Source organism: Homo sapiens, chromosome 2 (genome assembly GCF_000001405.40).
Source record: "Homo sapiens chromosome 2, GRCh38.p14 Primary Assembly".
In the NCBI taxonomy this organism is placed as follows: Eukaryota; Metazoa; Chordata; class Mammalia; order Primates; family Hominidae; genus Homo; species Homo sapiens.
Genome location: NC_000002.12, coordinates 178,935,632 through 178,962,506, shown reverse-complemented (window position 1 = coordinate 178,962,506; position 26,875 = coordinate 178,935,632). Strand labels below are relative to the sequence as shown.

Below are 26,875 nucleotides of genomic sequence, written 5' to 3'. Positions count from 1 at the left end.
CAATTAAGAGAAGACTGCACATCCAGGCAACAAATGATGCTTTCCATGGTGAGGACAGAGAGAAGTAGACAGATGCCAGAGATAGCATGTAAAATCAACAGGTCTTGATGATGGCGGGATGAAGGAGAGGGATGTCATGGACAGCTCCTTCTTTCTGCCTGATGGAGAGTGGACAGTTCCCCAACTGCTCCTTCAATTGATCCCCAAGTGTAGATGCTCCTCAATGTGCTATTCTCAACTCTTTCTCCTTCTACACTTTCTCCCTTGGTAGTTCTTCAATTTTTAGGCTTAACATCCCAATTCTACAAGATGTTACCTAAACTTACAATGCTATTTACTCCAGAGATCACATACTGGTAGTCCATTTGGCAGATATCTATGCTTCATTATCCTGTGATTTTTTTAATTAAAAATATGAATTATGAAAGATTTAGAAGTCAGAACTTTCATATAAAATTTGCATTTGAAACTCTTTTAATAATTGGAAGTTCCATCAACACTGAACCCATATTCCTCATGTCAACTGTTCGCCAGAACTGAGTGACAGCTGACCCTTTTAGCAAGCATTTTCCACTTTGTCATAGTCCCTGATATCTGGGCACCTGGCCACCACATTTATTGAGTTTTTGTTTGGTCATACCAGGCACTAGCCTTTAAATCTCAGCTTCAGTCCAATCACCTCAGAATGTAGAACACTCACCCAGCATCATACCGCTGAAAACTGCAGCAATGTCAAAATCCCACGCTCATTCTACTCCCTGTCCTGAATCACACAATTGCTGAACAAAGCATCCCATCAGTTGGCAGTTAGCACTATCACAATTGTTCGGCTAAGGTGTTTGACCAGTTTTTTCTCTGAAGTACTGTAGGCAGTTTCTGTTTACATATTTTAATTCCTTGCAGCACAACTTGTTTTTTATTAACATAAAAATTACATATATTTTAAATTATGAAGAGTCTGAATATTGCTGTATAAAAGCTTGCTAATATCATTATTCTTTTTTCTTTCTAATTTTCTTCTAGAACTCTTGGAACGGTCTTTAGCCCTTTTAAACAAAAGTCAACAACTCACTGACTTCATAGAAAAATTCAAGTGTGAAGGACCTAATGTGAATCCTGAGTTGACTCAGGGAGCTCATAGCAGCTGTCTGAAGGTTGACCGCCTTCTTGAACTTCTACAAGACAGGAGAAGACAACTAGACAAGTACTTGAAGCAACAGTGGCAAGAATTGAGTCAAGTTCTGCAGATATGTCAGTGGGACCAACAAGAAAACCAGGTAACCCAAAGGGGCATTGGATGATGTTCCAGCCTCAGCTGATTAGTTGTTATATGGATTAACCATTCCCTGGGGCAGTTTGTCAGTCTTCATGGTCAAATCTTTTGGTCTTTGGTCCAAAAAGCTTTCATCCAAACTACCATGTTGTTTTTCCCTGTAAGTAACATAAAAACAAATATATGCATTTTTTTCATTATACTGTTGATTGTATAAATGAGAGAACACCTGTGGGTAGTTTTGAGAATGAATGTATTCTATTTTTGGATTCTTCCTTCCTTCTAGGTCACTACTTTTAGACATGTTGCTTTGACATTTTGAAATGTTAATTGCAATTTTCTTAAAAGTTGAAGAGGCATGATGCTGCTGAATTGTGCTAGATTGCTGCTTACATCAGTAAAAAAGTCTGTCAGCCCAAAATAGAGATAATGTTCTTAGAAGAGTAGTCTGATGCCAATCAAAAAATATGACCTTGGCCCATAGCTGCAGGATCTGTGGTCAGAGGGCTTTGGGGGTTGATGAGTTTGCAGGCTCATTAGAGCTCATTACCCAGGCTGCAGGCACATTTCTGATGGGTCGTCAATGTGCTTGACATGCATTCCTTCTGCTACAATTATTTGATGTGAAGAGTGGGCAGAACTCTCTTTGCAAACCCCCAACTCAAATAAGTGAGATGTTTGTCACAACAATTCTGATTGTCTTAATTCCATGTTTAAATCTGTACAGATTAAGTGGAAGGAATTTTTAGGGAGAAATTATGTGGAGGGAGGTCTCCTGGCCTAGATACACAGGAAAGAGGTTTTTTCATATGTTTAATATTATTACTCCATCCAAATTGAAGAGACATTCATATAGCTGGAAGCGCATATGAGTCCAAGAGAAACTGGTTCTTATTTCAAGCTGGAAAAATGAGAGCTTATCCATGATGATCAACCTTTCAGTTAATACTTATTGACCACTTACTATGTACCAGTTCCTATCATAAGTGCTGGGGATATGCTAGACCACAAGACAGTGCCTTTTTCCTCTAGGAAATTTTCTTCTAATTCAGTGTTTCTCAACCTTGGCACTATTGGCATTTGGTGCTAAGTAATTCCTGGTTGTGGGAGGCTGTCCTGTCTGGCACACTCTAGGATACTGAGCAGCATTGCTGGCCTCTATCAACGAGATACCAGTATAACATCCCCAGTTGTGAGAAACCAAAACTGTCTCTAGACATTGCCAAATGTCCCCTGGGGGACCAAATTAATACCAGTTAAGAACCATTGTTCTAATGTGATGAGAAGGACTTATAATAAATGATGAGTACGATGATAAACCTGATGATGAAATCGAATAAGGTAATGAATTTTGACATGTGTTGGTCAACTTTTCATCAAAGAAGGAATCAAAGAAGCCTCTCCGAGGAAGTGGCATAGAGCAGAGACCCAAATGCAGATGCCAGTCATTTATTCTCCTGCTTGCATTTTGTTGCCATTCCCTTCTAAGTCACCATACACTTTCTAAGCTGCCTTGCTTTTATCATTTTACCCTGACTGCTGCCGCTTCTCCTGTCCTGCTTCTGTTGTGCTTTACCTGCTGACTCTGCTCTAGCCATTATACACTCTCACATGCACTTTCACATGCTCATTCCCCAAAGCATTATCGTCCAATGCAAAGGTCTTTTCCTGAAGACTCTGGCATAACAAGAAGGAAATTAATCCTCAGGACACGAAACAACTTAAAATTGTAAGACAACTGTTTCCAAAGTTCTTTGTCCTTCTGAGCATGAGTGGGTATATTTTAGCTCACTTGCTCCTCGCTGTCTGTCTCTCTCTGCCCTAATCCTGACCAGCCACCGTGTTCCCAGAGCTGCTATCCCCTTAAAGGAACCTTCCTTTTATCTCTTCATTCTTTTTTTTTTCTGTAGTGTTTTATTTTTTATTTTTATTTTTTTAATTATTATACTTTAAGTTCTAGGGTACATGTTCACAACATGCAGGTTTGTTACATATGTACACATGTGCCATGTTGGTGTGCTGCACCCATTAACTCATCATTTACATTAGGTATATCTCCTAATGCTATCCCTCCCCCCTTCCCCCACCCCACAACAGGCCCCAGTGTGTGATCTTCCCCTTCCTGTGTCCAAGTGTTCTCATTGTTCAGTTCCCACCTATGAGTGAGAACATGGGGTGTTTGGTTTTTTGTCCTTGCGACGTTTTTACAACCCCAAGCCCCTTCCTCTAGTGCTTCCAAAAATACATTAAAAACTCCTCTTGCTTTATCATACAGAGAAGTATTTATCTTTTAAACCTCAACATCTCTTATCCAGATTAACACAAAGACCTTCTCTCTCCAAAAAAAAAAAAAAAGCTCATCAAAGAGGCTTCCCAAACAGAACAGTTTTCCCAAGAGTAAGAAAATAGCTACAGTAAGTTTTATTTATTTATTTTTAAAACAGTAATTTTGCCTTTCTGCCCCATGACTATAGCGGTAATCATCCACTTGAATCCTCTGTAGTAAAAAAAACAAAAAAAAGGGGAAAAAATCACCTGAAAATTTAGAAGATTCAAAGTGAACATTCTAACCCAGCCACATGCTTGAAGGAAATCTAAATACCTTGCTAAACCTGGAAAGCAGAAATACATTTGCTAATAAGTAAAGTAAGGTATAGCAGAAGGTTTCTGACTTGGTAAGTTCTCTAACTTACGGGGTCTCATTTTTTTTTAGAGGTGAGTGCTTTTGGGAGGGGTGCTTTTTAAAAAGTAAAGTTTATTTTTTTAGAGCACTTTTAAGTTCAGAGCAAAATTGAGAGAAAGGTACAGAGATTTCCTATATGTTCCCTGCCCCCATACCTGCAGTTTCCCTCTTTATCAGCATCCCCCCTCAGAATAGCTTGTTTACAATCAATGGACCTACAGTGACACATCATTATAACCCAAAGTCCACAGTTTACATGAAGGTTCACTCTTGATGATGTACATTCCAAATGTCCAATTCCATGTACCTATGGGTTTGAACAAATGTATAATGACAGGCATCCACCATTATAGCATCATAGAAACCATTTTCACTGCCCTAATAATCCTCCGTGCTCTGCTTCTTCATTGCTCCCTTCCCTCTAAACCCTGGTAAACACTAATCTTTACTGTTCCCATAGTTTTGCCTTGTCCAAAATGTCATAGTTAGGATCATACAGGACTTTTCAGATTGGCGTTTTTCATTTAGTAATATGCATTCAAGTTTCCTCCATGTCCTTTCATGGCTTGATAGCTCATTTATGCTTAAAGCTAAATAATATTCTAGACAACCCTGGGCAAAGTAAGGAGACCCTGTCTCTACAAAAAATGTTTTAAAGTAGCCAGGTGTGATGGTGTGTACCTGTGATCCCAGCTACTCAGGAGGCTGAGGTCAGAGGATCCCTTGAGTCTGGTAGGTTGAGACTGCAGTGAGCCATGATAATGCCACTACACTCCAGTCTGGGTGACACAGAGCAAGACTCTGTCTCAAAAAACATAAATAAATAAATATCCCATTGTCTGCATATACCACAGTTTGTTCATCCATTAATCTACTGACATCTTAGTTGCTTCCAAATTTTGGCAATTATGAATAAAGCTGTTATGGGCATCCATGTGCAGCTTTTTATGTGAACACAAGTTTTCAATTTATATAGATAAATACCAAGGAACACAATTGCTGGATCATATGGTGAGAGTGTGTTTAGTTTTGTAAGAAACTGCTAAACTATTTTTCAAAGCAGCTGTACCATTTTGGATTCTCACCAGCAATGAATGAGCGTTCCTGTTGCTCTACATCCTTGTCAGTGTTTGGCATTGTCAGTGTTCTAGATTTTGGCCACTTTAATAGGTGTGTTGTGGTGTCTCGTTGCTGTTTCAATGGGCCTTACCTTTAAATTGGGAATAATACTTAACTCACAGAGTTGCTATAAGGATTAAATGAAATAAGTGCAAAACATGTAGCACAGTGCATAGCATTTTAAGAGGTACTTAATACGTATTAGTTTCTTTGCCCTCCCTCTCTGTGATTAAACCTTACAACTTATGAAAGCTTTCTCGGCCAGGCCCGGTGGCTCACGACTGTAATCCCAGCACTTTGGGAGGCCGAGGCAGGTGGATTGCCTGAGATCAGGAGTTCGAGATCAGCCTCAACATGGAGAAACCCCATCTCTACTAAAAATACAAAATTAGCCAGGCATGGTGGTGCATGCCTGTAATGCCAGCTACACGGAACGCTGAGGCAGAATTGCGTGAACCTGGGAGGCGGAGTTTGTGGTGAGCCGAGATCGTGCCATTGCACTCCAGTCCGGGCAACACGAACAAAACTCCATCTCAAAAAAAAAAAAAGCTTTCTCATTCAGCCCAGATTCTTTCCCCCAGGTGTAGCATTACTGTTGTTATACATGTCAAGGTCTCTTAATACTGTTTAGTTATTGGAGGCTGTTACAAGTATAGTTAGGCTTTAAGAATGCACATTCATGGTCAAGGGAATGAGGCTGTCATTTAGATTCCGTTCCTAACAGCACTTGAACAAAAATTAACTATAATAAGAACAATAAACATTATAGTAAATATAATCAGTCAATAAACAAGATAGTCATTTCCTTAAATATAAAATTTAGGCTCTTAGGCTGGGCGTGGTGGTGAATGCTTATAATACCAGCACTATGGGAGGTGAGGCGGGCAAACTGCTTGAGCCCAGGAATTCGAGACCAGCTTGGGTAACATGGCAAAACCCTGTATCTACAAAAAACACACATGCACAAATTAGCCAGGCATGGTGCCATGCTCCTGTAGTCCCAGATACTTGGGAGGCTGAGATGGATGGGTGGCTTGAGCCCAGGAGGCCAAAGCTGCAGTGAGCCAAGATTGCACCATTGCATTTCAGTCTGGGTGACAGAGTGAGACCCTCTGTCTCAAAAAATAAAATAAAAATAAAATTTAGACTCTGAATCTTAAAACACCTATGTTACATTTTCTCTTGTTAACAGCAGCGACAGTGGTTGGAGTAGTTAGTTAATAAAGCTGAGTATTGTCTCTTTATGCTTGTAAGAGTACGGATCCTGGGGCCAGACTGTTGGCTGGGTTCAAATCCTGGCTTCACCACTTACTGGCTGAGTAACAGCAGTTATTTAACTTCCCTGAGGCTCAGTTTTCTGTAAAAATATGAATAATAATACCAACTACTATCTTAGTGTTAGCAGTTGTTACCATCATGTCTGAAAAAGATAACGAAGGCCCAACATATTACATACTGATCCACTCCTTGCCCCCGCAATGTCATGCTCAGATGACGATTGGTCTCAGATTGAAGACCAGTTTTATTATTTGAGTTCACAGGATGTGATAAAATAAAAGTCAGTTTAATAATGTTAACAGCTACCCTTGTTCAATGGGCACTGAATTGATAGTTTAAAACAAAAAGTAGTATCTTTTTTTTCTGCTTGTGATTTAAAAATACTTTGTTAAAATGTAGACATCACCCTCCAAGCAGATTGCTACTAGAAATTTGGCATACTGCCACCTTCTAGACTTTTATCCAAGCGTGAGCATAGTCATAGGCACACACACATTTATTAAAAAAAACTAAACAAACAAATGAAAATTAATTGAGTTAGCCTATATATACTGTATTATAACCTGTTTTTTTGTTACATTGAAAAAAATCATAAACATATTCTGTGTTTAAATAGATCAATTAATTTTAATAAGTGTATAGTATTCTGCTATTTGAATATAACACAATTTAAACAGTATTAATGAGGAAATAGAGTTGCTTCGATTTCTTAATATTATAAACAATAATTAACGCTTACTCTGTTGATAATTATATGAACAAGGAATCATTTTAAAGTCCAGGTATGTATAAGCACAAATTATCTCACCTGAGTTTTTCAGTTTTTCTGAACTTCTGTTTATTATTATTATTATTATTATTTTCTTTTTGAGACAGAGTCTCGCTCTGTCACCCAGGCTGGAGTGCAGTGGCACAGTCTCGGCTCACTGCAACCTCCACCTCCGGGGTTCAAGCAATTCTCGTGCCTCAGCCTCCCAAGTGGCTGAGACTACAGATGCACGCCACCATGCCGGCTATATTTTTTGTATTTTAGTAGAGACCAGATTTCACCATGTTGCCCAGGATGGTCTTGAACTCCTGGGCTCAAGTGATCTGCTGCTCTTGGCCTCCCAAAGTGCTGGGATTACAGGCATGAGCCACCGTGCCTGGCCTGAATGTTCTATTTTAAAGCGTTGTTGATGGTACAGTGGTGAAGAATTGCAGCAGGAACACTAAGCTGAGTGTCACTCAGTTAGTAATTTGGGTTTTATAGTTATCATGTTCTCAGATGATCTACCTGATAATTCTAGAACATATGAAACCACATTTCATTGAAGGGCAAAGTTTTTTGGTTTTTTTTTTGTCAGTTCTGTCTTACTTTAAGGGAACACAGGAGCTATCAATCTTTACATTAATGAAATATCAGCTTTGTCAATCATTTTAACCACTTAAGAAAAAGGGAAATTAAGTAGAAAATTAGAACAAAGATTACTGATGAATAATAATGTGGATGTCTGAATATGTGATGTGTCTTCTCTCATAAGGGCCATTTAAAAGATACATTTAGTGCTTCTCTGTTTCTAAGTGCTGTGGCCTAATGCTTTTGAACTAAAATAGTTCAGCTAATTCTCCTTTGGAAAAGAAATTAGGTGACCAGCATGATGGGGACTTAGGATTCACATCAATTGCAGGAAAACAGTAAACGAAAAACACATACTTTCCTATCTTAAGTGGGATGTGATAGCCTCATAAAGATAATTATAGCATGTTCTTTCATCATTGTTTTTCAGATATAAAAATGCACTCTTGTTTTACATTTAATGATAAGCAGCTGACCTTTCTATTCAGCTCCAGCAGCATCTTATTTTGCAGATAATCTGCCTCATTAATGAAAATCAGAAGCAGCTTGAAGTATTTCGTGCATAATTAATTATCTTGGCAAGAAGATTTATGAATGTAATTTTTCTCAATTGCTCCAATCAGGCATAAGTGAGAAAAACAAATATATTAAAACTAAGCTATTCATGGTCTCTGCGTACACGACAGTGTCAAGGACGTCTAGGAGAATTAAGACATGAGGGCAGACAATCTCTTTTTACCACCCAGATCACATATAAGATATACACCTTTAGGGGCAGGAAGGATAATAGAATTCATATCAGAAGGTTTTGTGGTTTTATAATTTGAGTGAAATGTGTATCATAATCATGCAGTATATTCCTTGTCAATGGGCAATGTAAATGATATTAGAGATGACATATATGAGCATAGCCTCTGGGCACCAATCTTGTGTCTGGTGGGCATCTGTAAAACTGTGCACCCATACAGGCACATGTGAGTGTAATCTCTTATACATGATGCCACCTTCTAACTAGGATTTAGAACTTGAATGACTGAACAGCTTAAATGCATAATTTTAAAAGTCCTTCTCTGGAAGTTCCTTGACTTACCTGAGCTTCTTATCTATTGCTTTGGAAATTTTGAAATGGGGATACTAAACCTATCACCAAGAGATTTTGTGAGAAATAAATGAGAAGGTTTGAGTGAAAATACTTTGAAACATTTATATCAACAAAAAGTCCTGGTCCCATGATTGTAATGATGCACGATCAGCCTCTTCGGCTGCATTCTTGAGTGTATCTTTCATATTCCAAGGGGTAGTATTCCTGGATAAACAGTGTTATTCCCAAAAGTGGAATTTGGGGGTTGATAGAATATGAGCATTTTTTTTTTTTTTTGAGAGGGAGTCTCGCTCTGTTGCCCAGGCTGGAGTGCAGTGGTGCAATCTCGGCTCACTGCAAACTCCGCCTCCCGGGTTCATGCCATTCTCCTGCCTCAGCCTCCCGAGTAGCTGGGACTACAGGCGCCTGCCACCACACCCGGCTAATTGTTTTGTATTTTAAGTACAGATGCAGTTTCACCATGTTAGCCAGGATGGTCTCGATCTTCTGACATTGTGATCCGCCTGCCTCGGCCTCCCAAAGTGCTGGGATTATAGGCGTGAGCCACCACGCCCAGCCGAATGTGAACATGTTTTAAGGCCCATGAGCCATCTTGTCAAATTACCCCCACAAAAGTTGTTCAAATTTGACTCCAACTACTTGGAGTTGAGTACTGGTTCCCACCACATTGGTCAATGTTGAGCATTACCTTTTATTTTCATGTTTGCAAATCTGGTCTTCTTGTTTAAGTTAAGAAGTATTTCCTAAATCTGTAGTGATTGCATTAAAAATGCATCTATTTATAATGCATTTGTGTATCAATAAATGTGAGCTGCTGCCTCAAAAAAAAGAAGAGAAAAAAATTCCTTCTCTGAAGGCAGCTTTCATACATTGGCTGGCATAAGGCCAAATAAGGGTTGCATTATTTTGGTGACACTGGTATCAAACCGTTGGGTCAGTAACAGGTATAAATGACTGTCTAACTGTCCATAGATGAAAATTTATCACAGAATTTCATTTTGGTATATAGGCTATCTCTAGAATTCTCTCTAGGGCACACCAACAGTAAATGCAAAGGATCTGATAGTATTTGTAGAAGGAGCATGTAATTTTGACAGAAAAAGAAACCTTTTCTAACTGGAATGTATGCGAATGACTATTGCTTCCAATGGCACTGCAGTTCAAAGGTTGAAACAGGACTCTGGTGCAGATGGCATGGATACCAATCCTAGCTTTTATATTTACTAGGGATGTTGTTTGGGGCCAGTTACTTGGCCTCTGTGCCTCAGTGTCCTTTTCTGTAAAATGGGAATAATAATAGTATCTACCTATAGATTTATTGTAAAAACAAAAAATATTATATATTTTAAAATGCTTTGAGCACAGCTTGGCATATTGTAAGTGCCCAATGATTTTCAAATGTTCACCATGTCACTACATACTTTGATGGTCACTTTCTGAGCTTTACTGGATAATCACTAGCATACAAAATCAGACACACTGGCCATATCCCACACCAATTCCATAAACCACTAGATAGTCTTAACTTTCTAAAATGTTCTGATATGAACAGGGCATAAATGCCATTTCATGGCTTTATATCCAGTCTAGTTTACTCAAAAGATCAGTTTTAGCTGCAAGATAGAGTCAAAAACCAATTTTCCCCTCCTTAACTTTCTCCGCCCTTTAGCTATTTCTTTAGATCACTTATACTTATTATAGTTGATTACATTTTCATTAAATTAGGCCATTCCTGTATACTGTTCAACTGAACTGATGGCTTAACAACATTTTGGTTATTAATTAAGCCCCCAAGTCGGTTGGTAAGGGGGATGGGGACACACACTGTGACCATATTCACTCTCAGAAGTGATGAGTGTGCCTCCTTTGGAAGGCTCTGCGGTTGCTTCTAACCCTCATGCACATTGTATGACAGAATTAGCTGTTGCTGCCTGAGCTATCTGCTAAGCCCTGGGGCTGCCTGTGGGTCTCCTTTTACCTCTCTAAGCTCTTTTCCTTCCGTACCCCTGGTGTTGCCCCTGGTGATCATTGGCTTTTCTTTTCTCCTGCCACCATCCCAAACTAGCCAGGGAGTAGAAATCATTTTCTCCTCTTCCCTCATTCTCATGATCCAATCCCCAAAGACAACTCAAAAGGATGAATTAATTTTAATGAATGTTGTAGGGAGACTGTTAAACAAACAATCAATGGCATGCTTTAAAAAGATTAAGACATCTTTTAAAATTTACCAGTTATTTATTTTGTCGATATGACAGTTTCTGATTCATTGTTTTTCCCAACAACCAGAGGTTCAGGCCAAAACTTTGGTAGGAAATCCATTAAGCTGCCTGACCTAGGAACTGGAAAGGTAAAATGAAAATGTCAAACTTTGGTCCCACTCCTAAGTAGTTCTGTACTGCCTGTCGGTCTGTCTCTCACTCTCTTTATCTCACACACACAGTGAATATAATTGGCTGAAGATCACTTAGGATAGAACTTTAAGTTATATTGGGAAAACCATGCCTTCGATATCTTTGGCAGGGATACACATTGCCAAGACACTGGATGGGGCTCTGTTTCCTCTCCTGAAAAACAATGTCTTTCCACTGCTGGGGAAGTTATTTTCAATGAGTCGGAGGTAATGCTAGAAATAAAATTTAGGTCCAGAGACATCTACTGTACTGATTTTGTCCACTGGACTAAATAACTTTCCATCCATTAAGTGGTTGGAAGAAAGAACCTACCTAAACACAAATAACTGTTGTGGGCAATGTTAAGAAGGGAAGTCCTTAGTGCCATTTTTTCATGAAATATAGACGTGAGAAGAGAAATTATATGCTAATACAAGTCAGAATAGTTAAATACATAAAATTATTATTCTAAACAGGAAAAAGGATTGTATGTAAAGCTGTTCATAAAGTAACAAGTTTGCCTTAAAATAACATATTTTAGCTTTCCTACTGCCCATCAACAGAGAATACCGGGATTTGATACTGGAATTTATTGAGGAGATACTGATACCTTCCAGTTGATTTCAGTAATTCACAAAGGGCTCCAAAATTCAACAGAAGAAAATTGTGAGCATTGTCCTCCTGGAATCTCTAAGTCCAAATAATAACAGGCCAATAACTAGATCAGTCCCAGAATACGTCTAAAAATGGAAACCCGATCCACATTTTTGGCAGTAATTGTTTTTTCCTGCTCTCCTCCCAAGTCTGCAGGTACAAACATCAGCAACACAGCTTTAGCATCTCTTCTAATGTGCATTAGAATCACCTAATGGACCAAATGGATATTTCAAATCTGGTCATCGCTAGTTAAGTCCAGAGCTCATTTGACTGTATTGTCTAATACAAAATAAAGGCAACTGGTTCCCCTACTGTAAAAAAAGAAAAAAAAACCCAAAGCCCTATGGAAACATGCCTTCAAAATCAAAGCAGGCATTAGAACTGTCACCTGTGACCATCAACTACAATTGAAAACATTTCTGTATATGTGTGTGTTTTTGGTAATTGCCAGAGAGACTGTCAAAAAGTCTTGGGTTAAAGAAGATAAATAACTGATGCCTTTTTCCTTTATCAGTTTTTTGTACTTAATAGAACCTGGTTATTCAGCAAGTTCTGCACATGGAAAAGAAAATGAAAGTAATTTGATGAGATTTTCATCTCCCCTTAAGCATTTCTGTTAAGGTCGTTTGAATTGCTTATTGCTAGCTCACCTCCTCCAGCATATTTTAAATAAAGATAAAAGAGATCTGATTTCATATTGTAGAACAAATTGCAGAAAAATAAACTGCAGTGGCTTATGGCATTCTGATGTGTTGCTTTGGGCTGCAGCAGAAGTTCACCTTCTTGCCGCCTGAGTTGTTTATCCTTGGCCATCAGAGAGCATTTTCTACCGCTTGCATGACCCATCTTTCAGTCCTGTCTTTGGCACATGTCATTTGGGAACTGAAATTCTCAGCCTGCTCTTGCTGTCACCACTGCCCACAGCTGGCTTCTTGCTCTCAGAGACTCCTCCTGACAGGCCTGACCCACACATCCATTCTCCTCTCTAATGAACTATTTTCACGGAGCCCCTGATTGTATACGGGACCTATTTCTGTGTTAAAATTGGATTCTATAACCATAGCTTTGCATTTTGGTTTTTATTTTAAGAACATTCATAAATATAGCCTAATGAGAACCATTTCTCTTCTCCAGAATCCTTTCTTTCTGCAGATGTATATAATGAGCAGGAAAAATATTGCATAGTATGAATTCTGACACTGGCATTTCTGTCCCTACCTACAAGAATTTCCTCTTATTGGTTGTGTGAAATTAGGCAAATTATTGAACTGTCTATTGAACTGTTACCTCATCTGTTGAAAAGGCAAATATCTCTATCATAGGAGGGGTGCAAAGGTTGGTTGAAATTATGTTGTAACCTGCCTAAATTCGTACCTAATACTTCTGTTGGAAGGAAGGCTAGTTAACTTCTTTTACCTTCTTCATTCTTATCTACCAGCAGGGGTCCAAAGTGGGACTTCCAACAAGAAAAAAAAAGGAGTCCTTCTTTGCCAAAGACTAAATACCGTCCCACTCTTCCAACCTTCCTACTCTTTTTGGTACATCCCTGTATCAACTTTCCGCATGCATCTTCAGTGATGAACAAGACATGCAAAGAAATGCATGTCTTACCTAATCAAATAAAAAAAATGTGGGAAGGAGCCCCTTTGTTACTTCTGCTTTCCCGAAAGCTATCATCCTTTACTCAGCCAATGAATGTAGCCAATGTCTTAGTCCATTTTGCATTGCTACAAAGGAACACCTGAAACTGGGTAATTTATGAAGATGAAAGGGTTATTTGGCCCATGATTCTGCTGGCTGAAAGATTGGGCATCTGTTGAAAGCTTCAGGCTGCTTTCACCCATGGCGGAAGGTGAAGGGGAGCTTCCATGTGCAGAGAACACATGGCAAGAGAGGAGGCAAGAGAACACGTGGAGACACTAGGCTGTTTTTAACAACCAGGTCTGCTGGGAACTAATAAAGGGAGAACTCACCCACAGCCCCCACCAAGGGAGGGCATTAATCTATTCATGAGGGGTCCGCTCCTGTGATCCAAATACCTTCCATTAGATGCCATCTCCAACACTGGGGATCAAATTTCAGCATAGGGTTTAGAGGGGACACACATCAAAACTGTAGCAGCCAACATTCCCACTTAGATGTTCATAAATGCTACCAACTGATATCTCACACCGCTCTTCTCCTGACTCCACTTTTTAAAATACCTTTAATTAAAGCTCAGTCCTTAAGTCTACATTTAACAAATATAGTCCAAATATATTTTAATTGGAGAACCATCCAATAATAATATAATGCAACCTACTGATGTGATTTTAAATTTTCTAGTAGCCACATTTTAAAAGTAAAAAATTAAAAAGTAAAAAGCCACATAAAAGGATGAAAAGCAATAATATTTTTAAATTAACCCGACATATCTAAAATGTTATTTCAATAGGTAATCAATACTAACTTTTTTTTTTTTATTGAGATAGGGTCTCACTCCTATTGCCCAAGCTGGAGTGCAGTGGCATGATCTTGGCTCATTGCAGCCTCAACTTTGCAGGTTCAGGTGATCTTCCTCCTTTAGCCTCTCTGAGTAGCTGGGACTACAGGTGTGTGCTACCACACCCCGCTAATTTTTTGTATTTTTTAGTAGAGATGGTTTTGCCATGTTGCCCAGGCTGGTCTCAAACTCTTGAGGTCAAGGAATCCACCTGCCTCAGCTTCCCAAACTGCTTGGTTTACAGGCATGAACCACCATACTCATATTCATACTAACATTCTTAATGAGATATTTTCATTATATTTATGCTAAGTCTGTGAAACCTGCTGTGTGCTTTACACGTGGAGCATGTCTCAAGTAGGACTAGTCACTTTCCAAGTACAAGATAGCTATGTATGATGAGAGGCTACCGTATTGGACAGTGCAGGTTTCCCTGCCACCCCACTTTAACTTTCAAGGCAGCTCTTTGTTTTCATTGAACATTCCTGATTGTTTCCTCTCTGCATCTTTGCTGACTTTCCTTTTTCTCCATCTCTTTTCACTCTGTGATAGATGTCATCCCATCACTACACACACACCACACACAAAGATCTGCCTCACTCCTCTGCTGAGTTCTATCTCCTCTGGGCATCAAGTACCTAGAATGCCCTATCAAATTAATGGGATGACCATGAACACATTGCTCAGATGAAACTGGAAGATAGAAACTGGGAAGAAAGGAAAAATATTCTAATTAACCCCTTTAATCCATCATTGCCCAGAACCAATTTCCAGTGCATACTTCGAATACTTTTTGTTTTCCTTCCTTTGTACATCTCCTCAGCTTGTGGCTCATGTTTTCATAGTTTTGCAGGGACCATGTTCTACATAAATGTCCTGGTGCATCATTTACTGTACTTACCACTCAGGCTTCTGGACAGCAGCTGACATAATTTAAAAGCTTATAAAAAGTGCACTTAGAATATCTATGCAGCTGTCTGCAGTAGCTACTCGCTGGGCACAATGACTGATTTACTGGGTGGCAGAATATTATGATTGACATGCTCCTGGTTATTTAGGGTGTCTTATTTTGTCATCAGAAGGACTCTGAGAGCCTATTTTGTGTGCATCCCACAGCATACATGGTAAATCTGATCGAAGAGTCTGCTCCTGTGTATGAATACCTCATAATGAGATGTAACACCCTCCTGATGATCTACTTACTTCTGAGTTTTATGCCAACTTGTTTTTATGTTTCTTTCCAGGGTGCATCTGGTAGTAAAAATTTGTAGATCTAGAGAGTCAGCATGATTTAACAGGCAGGAACGTGAACAGGATACACTGAACATTATCGTATGTCTTTAACTACATTCTCCTAAAGGGAATAGTATTGTTTTACAGGAATAGTATCTTTTGGGAGTTGAAATAGTATATGCCAAATCTAGAAGATGAGGTCAGTAGATACCGTTTAAAAATCAAAACAACTCACTCTTTCCCAGCTTTCATCACTGCTGGCATGTGTTAGATGACAAGTCTTTGACTCACAAAGTTTAATAAGATTATCTGAGGTTCCAGGCTTCTCACCTGTTTTTAGAGATTAGAGAACACCTGTTTGTACCCATTTTTCATCCACTCTGATTCTATATTAACTGTCCCTATTAAAGCATTCTTGAGATGTCAAGTCCCTCCCACTTTAGCTAAGAATAAATAAAACTCACTTTTGTTTAATAAGATAAATTATCTCTGGAAGTCAGTTGTATTCGTGATCCACTTTACTTTGAGGAAACCCTTAAATCATTGCTCTAGTTGTGTTTTTATGGGGGCTCACTGAATTTTTGGGAGAAAATTATTTTGTTTTACAAAATAAAATAATAAATTTTATAGCTGTTGATAAAATATTCTCTGTGTTTTCATAGGCACATTGTACATATCATCTAGCTCTAATTGGATACCAGAAAAACACTGTCTTCAAATAATTGTAAATACATAAGCACAATACTTGTGTATCGTGGGGACTAACTAGATAATGTGTATTTTGTGCATAGATTACCAGATATTCGGAAGAAAATGAGATATATGTCACATGAAAACTGCTATAAGGTCACCAGTATTATTTTCTTTGCACTAATGATGGGCTAAAATGCTGGTTAACAAAGACATTTCCAATTAGCAGAAAGCTGGAGAAATGCTTCCATCCTGTATTTTAAATGCCCATTCCATGCTGAGAAATACTAAGAGTTGGTGTAGACCTTTTGATCGCATAGTCAGCTTTGTGATATCAGCCCTATAAATGGTGTGTCCTATTCTAGGTGAGCCCTTAACTCTGATGTGTGTGTGTGTGTGTGTGTGTGCACGCATGTGTCATGTGCATTTATTGTGTGGAACTTCTGATCTAATGTAGAGTTCTCCTTGGCTACCTGTTGTACACATTTCTCCATGTTATAGGATTTCAGAGAAATCCTGAGACTGCTTCAGGCAAGACAACCTAGGCTGGGGAAAGACATAGTATCAGGCTTGGGATTTATATGCCCATTATTTTGAATGGGCTGCTAGTGTTCATTTTTCAGATTTGAAGTCATTCCCGCTGATGGCAGGGCTGTAAGACCTTAAATAACTCAAGCATGGCAGCAGGGCACAATGGAAAGAGCATGGATTTGAAATCCTGCAGACTGGAGGACAAATTCTGTCTCTGCTACTTACTATGTGGCTGTGGATAAGCTGCCTCTTCAAAACTCAGTTACCGCATCTCTAAAATGATGATATCATGACTGTTATAAAGTTGTTGAGAGAAATAGAGATGATGCCCAAAAAGCAACTAGCTTGTAGTAGTCTCTTAAGAATCAGTCATTATGATGTGATCATAAGGACAATGCTATACAGGATTCGAGTGTAAAAATCTAAGTCTCCTTTAATTGAGATAAGGAATCTGCATCCAGGGCCCCCATGTCAAGTGTTGGCATCATTTAGAAAGGTACAGATTATTTCAAGTCCTTTGCTATTTGTAGTTTCAGCACTGTATATGGCATGTATTATAAATCAAGTCAATGTAAATGTTAATAACCTCTCTATTTTCTGGATACAGATTTCCAGCACTTGTAGCAAACTAAATATTTCTGCATAGTCTATTTTATGGCAGAAAATATAATTCTACCTCTGCTGTTTAATATCTTCATATGGGTTTACGTAACTATACTTAGATTCATATTCATTTCCAGGAAAGAAGATATATTTTAAATGAATTCATGATTTTTGGACTGCTTGGGAATCTATTTTGATTCTTTGTTAGGAGATTTTCATTTTATTCATGCCATGTAATCTACTGAACTGATTAGTCATTTTCATACTTTTTGGGATTTTTTCTCTTTTATGCATGTAGAGGTTAAATGAAGAAAAAATTCTAAACTTGTTCATATTATTTTAATACATGAGATGGTTTATATAAAAAGAAATTAAAGTAGCTTAAGTTTTGAAAGGTTGAGGGACTATTTCTGAATTTTTACTCACTTATTCTGATCATTTGAATTTTGATCTTTCTTTGTTGCCTTTTACCTAGGTTACTTGTTGGTTTCAGAAAACTATAAGAAATTTACAGGAACAAAGTCTAGGTTCATCACTTTCAGACAATGAGGATCGAATTCATAAGCAAGAGGAACTGATAATAAAAGCAAAGGTAAGAGATATATTAGACACACTAAAAATAATTGAAAAATGCATTAACTTTTCTTGAATATACTTCTGTGGGTAATTTAGAGGAGAACTGAGAACTGTCTTTGATTAATCTACTGTTCATGTAAAAAAATATCCCAATAACATTAGCAAATACCACTGTGCATTGACAGGGCTTCCAGAATAATGATAAACAAATTAACAGCTTCTACAACAATAACTATATTTTTCTGAATAGTTACTATGTGCCAGGCACTATAGTATGTATATGAGATCCATTATCTAAATTATCATAAAACCCCTAAGGGGGAGGTATTATTTTCTCCATTTTATGCATCAAAACAAATAAAACAAAAAGGCTTGGAAATGCCAAGTCACTTGACCAGTGTAATATATCTTGTCAGTGGCAGATTTGAAATTCAGTTCTAGGTTTTGTCTAATACAAAGGCCCAAGCTCTTAAACATTATACATTTTAGCTTTCTAAAAAATTTTTTTTCTACACTGAGATGTCACTATGAGTCATCACTTTTATGACTTCCAGATATAATTTGATTGCTGTTCCAATTTACATGTCTTTTGCTCTTTAACTTGCTTCAGATTTCTCAGTTTTACAAGAAGTAATGGCTACCAGCCAGGCAGCCACTTATAGGTATATAGAATGCATTAAAATGCAAGCATGAAGTGCTGAAAGCAAGATGAGTAAAGCACCAGTGTTTTGGTTGACCTTCTCTCCATTGTGTCTTGTTATTTGAAAATCAGTGCGTTTATACATCTGGGGGTCTGTAAATACTTTCCAAAATTCTTTACAGAGGCTCCATATTGATCCACAAGAAAACAGAAGTCCGTCATAGTAGATGGGATGGGAACAGTGAATAATCACTATCAAGATTTAGGGAACTTTGTATATTAATATTTTAGATTATGATAGTTGTAAGTAGAGCTAAGTCATAAAGCTCTAGAAAACAATGGGCCAACACTACTAGACAGTAGTTGAATACAGGCTAGACAAGTCAAATATTCACATGTCTGGGAGGTTAGGAGTAGGCAGGATGAGGATGGAGGCAGTAGATTGCATTTATTTAGACTTAAATCTTTTCATGGGGATCATGACACATTTGTTTCAGTTTCTTGCTTCTGTTTGAACACTCCAGTGTCTTGTAGGCATTCAAAGTCTTTGGTTTGAATATTTGATTGATAAAAGGTGCACTTACAGAAGACTGTTGACTAATAATGACTGATTATTTTTTAATTTCTTAAAATTTTTCAGCATTTGGTTTATCTGTTTAGGAGGTTAACTTTTTTCATTGAATTATATGGCAATTTATTCTGTTTGTATCAAACTCAAGTTTTATCAGTGAAAATTCTATCGAAAGCCCCAAATGCCAAGCACAAGAGATCACCAGAATTGCATAGGATGCTACTTCCTTTAATACCAAAAAAAGCAGTATATAGTGTACACATAATTTAGACATCCCTTGGGGTTATATTCACGATAAATTGTAGAGTTATGGTTTCCTCTAGCCCTGAAGACAGTCTAGAGTAGAATATTTGTTAATGTTTGACCTTAGTAGGGCACAGTTTTTCTCATAGTTTATAGCTCATATTTCAACCTCTGATGTCCATAAACAAAAAAGCATATAGATATTCTTTCCATCAATATTATTAAGTTGCAGGTATAAGGGATGTAAAAAATAATTTTTAAAAGACTATTTTTAGAGCAGTTTTAAGTTCACAGCAAAATTGAGAGGAAGGCATAAAGATTTCCCATATACACCCTGCCCCTACACATTCGTAGCCTCCCCCATAATCAACATCCCCATCAGAGTGGCGCATTTGTAACAATTAATGGACCTGCATTGACACATCATTATTACCCAAAGTTCATTGCTTATATTAGGGTTCACTCTTGGTGTTGTACATTCTATGGGTTTGGACAAATGTATGATGATATGTATTGAATGATTGAACATCATTGAATTATACAGATTATTCTTGCTGCCCTAAAACTCCTCTGCGCTCTGCCTGTTCATTCCTTTCCACACCCCCAACTCCTGACAACCACTGATCTTTTTACTGTCTTCATAGTTTTGCCTTTTCCAGAATGTCATGTAGTTAGAATCGTACAGTATGTAGGCTTTCAGATTGGTGTTTTTCACTTAGTAATATGTATTTAAGTTTATCTATATCTTTTCATGGCTTGATAGCTCATTCGTGTTTAGAAATAAATAATATTCTAGACAAGCCTGCATGACATAGGGAGATTCCATCTCTACAAAACATTTAAACGATTAGCCAGGTGTGTTGCATGCTACTCAGCTATTCAGGAGGCTGAGGTGGGAGGATGGTTTGAGCCTGGGAGGTTCCAGACAAGTATATGCACTTCCTTTAGGGTCCTGAACTACTCTGCATCTTGTGCAGAAGCTGAGTATTGCCCCATGTACTCAAGTAGTTTTCAAGCCAAACTGTTTTTGAAAAGTGAGGCATAGAAACCTATTTCTCTACAGCATCCCTGAGAGTAAATTTCTTTTCTTTTCCCTTTTTTTTTTTTTTTTTTTTTTTTTTTTTTTTTTTTTTTTTTTGAGATGGGATCTCTCTCTGTCACTCAGGCTGGAGCACAGTGGTGCAATCATACTCACCGCAGCCTCGAAATCCTGGGCTCAAGCGATTCTCCCACCTCAGCCTCCCGAGCACCTGGGACTGCAGCTGCACACCCCCATACCTGGCAAATTTTGTTTTTATTTTTTTTTTGTAGAGACGGGGTCTTGCTATGTTTCTCAGGCTGGTTATGAACTCCTGGCCTCAAGTGATCCTCCCACCTCAGCCTTCTAAAGTGCTGGGATTACAGGCATGAACTCTCATACCTGGCAAATTTATTTTCTAAAGGGGGAGGTTCGTTTATTTATTGGGATTTCTTTTTTTATTTATTTATGTGAAGCATTCTTTCCAATGTAAGATTTTCCTTCCAAACTATGGGTTGAGCTATAGAGCCATCAATCTTAAATCCATCTTTAATTACAAATTACAAAAATGTTGACTAATTATTTAGACTGATTCAGTCAAATGAAGATGAATGCTCACATATAACTTGTAGATACAAAAAGGTTCTAAAGATACTTGCCATGAATTTCAGACACTAGATAATTCACTGGCAAGATAACTGGCTATTAAGACTTCAGGAGTCTCCGAATCATATGGGGTTAGAGAGACCCCCATCAGTGTATATGCACAAGGGGGAGTGGTGCTTTATTCTGGGGTGATCCAGGACAGCTTTCTGGAAGGATGGGGTTTGAACAGATGGATGGAATATGAGTTGTTGGTTAGGAGGGGGTGGTCAAACCAGAATATGGCAGAATAAGGCAAACAGCAATCAGACCAGGCTGTCTATGATGAGAGTTAAAGTCCTCATAATGTGTAAGCCAGAGAAGAGAGGCTAAGGAGAGTTGTCTTAGAGGCAATAGACTTATCCACAGCCATTCTGTAGGAAAGAAATAATAATCCATGGTCATGACAGAAAAATAGACTTCCACAGGTTGGGAAATAGAAGAGATTCCTGAAGCAACGAGAGGTAGGCCTAGATGACCTCAAAACTTTCTTTAATTTTCAAATCCTGTAAAGGAGATAGGATGTACATTTCAGTATCAATTATGCTTGTTATATTGAAAGCAAGATGAGTGTAGAAAACACCTTTCCAGAGCTGGTTGAAAGGAGTAAGTCTGGGCGGGGGAAGTAGCAGTATTTTTTTAAAGTAGACAGTATCTTACCTTGGTATTCCCAGCACATTGGACAGTGCCTGATATGAAAAGGACATTTGATTAATGTCTGTGTAGTAAGTCTTTTACGTTGTGAAGAAGAAGCATCCTTTTAGGTTTTTTTGTGATTCCCTTGTGACTTTAGATAATCACTTAACCTCCTTTTATCTATCTATCCACCCAATATCTTTAAAAACATTTTTTTAGCCCTCAGAGTAGAGTTACACTTCCCTTTTGGTTTACCTTATTGTCTTCCCCTTTATTCTCTCTATCCCTCACATTCTCATTCTCACAGGGACCTACTCTAATGGGCTCAACATATGTCTTTAGACATAGTCCTATTTCTAAAATACAGAGTTACGTGTTTCCATTTGCATAAATAGAATGAAGCCATAGATCTCATATTGTTTTTTGCCATAACACTGTTTGCATCTAGTTTATACAGTTCTTTGTGTTCTTCAGTATGCTAATTTCTAGTTGCAATGTAAATTTGGAAAGTTGTATTACGTAGATGATGTTCTACTTCTATCCTTCCTAACTTATCACTGCCTCCCCCCATTTCTTTATTCTTTCCTAATCTCTGATCTTATAGAGCACTCATTCTTTCTTCTGCTGTACTCCTTCTGCCATTCAGCCCTCCTGCCAAGTTCTTCACTTCAGCTATTACATTTTTCATGCCCAGTTGCTGACATTGATTCTTCTTCATAAATGGTTTTCTGTTTTACCTATCTAATGTATTTCCTCATATCTTAAGATATTCTTTTTAACATATTAAATTTTTGGTCTGTCCAGTGCATTAATTCTGCTTCTTCTGTATTTCAGTGTTGCTTGTGGTCAACAGATGTTGTTTATCCCTGTGAATTAATGTTCCATTGGGATATCAGTAACTTTGGTATAGTGGGGATATGAAAGCCAGTGCTTTAATTTACCCCTTGTGGGTGAGTTGGGGAGATACCCCTAAGTGCAGTTGACTTCTTTTGCTACAATTAGGATTCAACCATTCCCATTTGTCCCCCAACACCCCCCCTCCACCACACACACAAAAGAGTATACCCCTTGGACGACCTCCCAGTGATTAGATTCTGGACCTTACTTTTATCCATGACCTATTTCTCTGGGTGGTATTCTACCCACCTCACATGGTGGAGAGTTGGTGTGGACACATGAAGAAACAAATCAGGTTGCCTACCTCTCTAATATCAACTATCCATCTGATTAGATTTCCATGGGATCCTGTTTTTTCTCTCTTACTGGTACTGGACTGAGGGTACTATTTTCTATCCAAAAAAGGTAGAAAGTGAGCAATGACCAGGGAGGTAAGGAGAGAAAGCATCACACCTAAAAAGTTCTCCCCTGGCATATCTCCTGACTATGGCATCCAACCTTATTGTATGTAGACAGCCATGTGCCCTGAGACTCAACCACCTTTTGTCTCCCACAGAAAAGTTCTGTGATCTATAAAACCTTACTTTTCACTTTACAGAAAGAACCAGCTATATAATTTGTGAGGCCCAGTGCAAAATAAAATTATGGAAGGTTTTCTTAAAATATTATTGAGAATTTCAGTATGGGGACAGCATGGGCCCCTTTTAAACGTAAGGCTCTGTGTGATTGCACAGGTCAGTTGACCATGAAGCCAGTCCTATATACAGGGTTAGGATTTCTGGAAAGACCTAGCAGCCTTTGCTGGATACACATTTTCCTTAGCCACTTTATTAGCCTCTTCTCACTTGAATTAGCAGGCTTTCTAAAACAAACCGAACCAAAAGAAAAAAAACCATGCAGATTAGATTAGAGAAAAGGGAATTATAATGACCAAATGTTTATAGTTCTATATTCTTTGTCTTCCCTTACTCCAGAACAGAATACGTTCTGGGAGCAATGCAATATCTAGAAGTTGACTATAAGGCTATACTTGGTTGCATCTACATGGAGAAAAACAGGTTTAAACCCCTGCTATGTCATTCACTACATAATGAATGACATACCTTGGATACATTACATCCCTGCGAGCCCCACTTTCCTCACTTGTAAGATAGAGCCTTGAAAATTCAATTAGAAAATATTTGTGACAATAATAGTGGGAGACTTCAAAACTCTACTAACAGTATTAGACAGATAATCAAGGCAGAAAATTAACAAAGATATTTAATATCTGAACTCAACATTGGACCAAATGGATATATTAGACATCTACAGAACCTTTTATCCCAAAACAACAGAATGTACATTATTCTCATCACCACATGGCACATACTCTAAAATTGACCGCATAATTGGACATAAAACAATCCTCAGCAAATGGAAAAGAACTGAAATCATACCAAACACACTCTCAGACCACAGCACAATGAAAATAGAGTCAAGACAAGGAGAATCACTTAAGACCATGCAATTACATGAAAATTAAACAACATGCTCCTGAGTGACTTTTGGGTAATTAGTGAAATTAAAGCAAAAATCAAAAAGTTCTTTGGAACTAATGAGAACAAAGATACAACATACTAGAATCTCTGGGACACAGCTAAGGCAGTGTGAAGAGGGAAATTCATAGAACTAAATGCCCAACATTTAGTGTTCTCCCCTAAATGTCTTTCTAACATCAAGAAGTTAGAATGATCTCAAACTAACAACCTATCATTGCAACAGAAAGAATTAGAGAAGCAAGAACAAATCAACCCTAAAGCTAGCAAAAGACAAGAAGTAACCCAAATCAGAGCTAAACTGAAAGAAATGAAGACATGAAAAAACATTCAAAAGATCAATGAATCCAGAAGTTGGTTTCTTGAAAAACTTAATAAGGTAGATTGGCTGCTAGCTAGAGTAATAAAGGAGAAAAGAGAGAAGATCCAAATAAACATCATTAGAAATAATGAAGGGAATGTTACCACTGACCCCATAGAAATAAAAATAACCATCAGAAACTACAACGAACACCTCTATACAGACCTAAAAGAGATGGATAAATTCTAGACACATATACCTCCCAAGACTGAATCATGAAGAAATTGATTCTCAGAACAGACCAATAACGAGCTCCAAAATTGAACAAATAATAAACAGCCTATCAACAAAAAAAATGCCTAAGACCAGATGGATTCATAGCCAAATTCCACCAGAGGTACAAAGAAGAGCTGGAACCATTCCTACAAAAACTATTCCCAAAAATTGAGGAGGAAGGACTCCTCCCCAACTCATTCTATGAGGCCCAAACCCGGCAGAGACACAACAAAAAATGAAAACCAGGCCAATATCCTTGATGAATATTGATGCAGAAGTCCGCAACAAAACACTTACAAAACCAAATTGAACAGCACATCAAAAAGCTATTCCACCACGATCAAGTAGGCTCCATCCCTGGGATACAAGGTTGGTTCAACATATGCAAATCAATAAATGTGATTCATCACATAAACAGAACTAAAGACAAAAACTACATGATTTTCTCAATAGATGTGGAAGAGGCTTTCAATAAAATTAAGCACTCCTTCATTTTAAAAATCTTCAATAAACTAGATACTGAAGGAACATACCTCCAAATAATAAGAGCCATCTATGACAAACCCACAGCCAACATTATACTGAATGGGCAAATGCTGGAAGCCTTTCCCTTGAAAACTGGCATAAGACAAGGATGCCCTCTTTCACCACTCTTATTCAACATAGTATTGGAAATCCTAGCCAGCACAATCAGGCAAGAGAAAGAAATAAAGTGCATCCAAATAGGAAGAGAGGAAGTCAAACTCTCTCTTTTTGCAGATGACATGATTCTATATCTAGAAAACCCCATAGTCTCGGTCAAAAGCTCCTTCAGCTGATAACTTCAGCAAAGTTTCAGGATACAAAATCAATGTACAGAAATAATTAGCATTCCTATACACCAACAACAGCCAAGCCAAGACACAAATCAGAAAGGCAATCCCATTCACAGTTGCTGCAAAACAAATTAAATTCCTAGGAATACAGCTAACCAGGGAGGTGAAAGATCTCTACAATGAGAATTAGGGAACACTGCCCAAAGAATTCACAGAAGACACAAACAAATGGAAACACATTCCATACTCATGGATAGGAAGAATGAATATCATTAAAATGGCCATACTTCACAAAGCAATTTACAGATTCAATGCTATTCTTGTCAAAATACCAATGACATTCTTCACAGACCTAGAAAAACCTATTTTAAAATTCATATAAGATCAAAAAGAGCCCAAATAGCCAAGGCAATCCTAAACAAAAAGAACAAAGCTGGAGGCATTATGTTACCAAAGTTCAAACTATACTACAGGGCTACAGTAACCAAAACAGCATGGAACTAGTACAAAAACAAGCACATAGACCAATGAAACAGAATAGGGAATCCAGAAATAAGGCCGCAAACCTATGACCACCTGATCTTCAAAAAAGCTGACAAAAACAAGTGATAGGGTAAAGACTCCCTATTCAATAAATGCTGGAATAATTGACTAGCCACATGCAGAAGATTAAAGGTGAACCCTTCCTTACACCATATGCAAAAATCAACTCAAGATGGGTTGATTAAGGACTTAAATGTAAAACCCAAAACTATAAAAACCCTGGAAGACAACTTAGGCAATATCATCCTAGACATAGGAATAGGCAAAGAGTTCATGACAAACACACCAAAAACAATTGCAACAAAGCAAAAATTGACAAGTGGGATCTCATTAAACTAAAGAGCTTCTGCAAAGCAAAAGAAACTATCAACAGAGTAAACAGACAACCTACAGAATGGGAGAAAATATTTATAAACTATGCATCTGACAAAGGCCTAATAGCCAGCATATATAAGGAACTTAAACAAATGTACAAGAGAAAAACAAACAACTCCATTAAAAAGTGGATAAAGGACATGAACAGACACTTCTCAAAAGAAGACATACATGTAGCCCACAAACATGAAAAAAAAGCTCAATATCACTGATTATTAGAGAAATACAAATAAAAACCACAATGAGATACCATCTCACACCAGTCTGAATGGCAAAGTCAAAAAATAACAGATGTTGGTGAAGTTGCAGAGCAAAGGGAACACTTATACACCATTGATAGGAGTGTGTAAATCACAGTATGGAGACTCCTTAAAGCTAAAAGCAGAACTACCATTCAACCCAGCAATCCCATTACTGGGCATAT

General features: G+C 38.0%; 1 protein-coding gene across 20 annotated transcripts in view; it reads left to right on the top strand.

Annotated features, from left to right (window-relative positions):
- Positions 1–26,875, top strand: part of CCDC141 (coiled-coil domain containing 141) — a 235,160-nt gene that overhangs the window by 87,631 nt on the left and 120,654 nt on the right. For all 20 annotated transcript variants that reach the window (XM_047443998.1, XM_047443994.1, XM_047443993.1 and 17 more), the window contains exons 5-6: positions 1,024–1,277; positions 17,856–17,972. In XM_047443998.1, the coding sequence (XP_047299954.1) occupies positions 1,024–1,277; positions 17,856–17,972 (371 nt within the window). The remainder of the gene's footprint in view (positions 1–1,023; positions 1,278–17,855; positions 17,973–26,875) is intronic.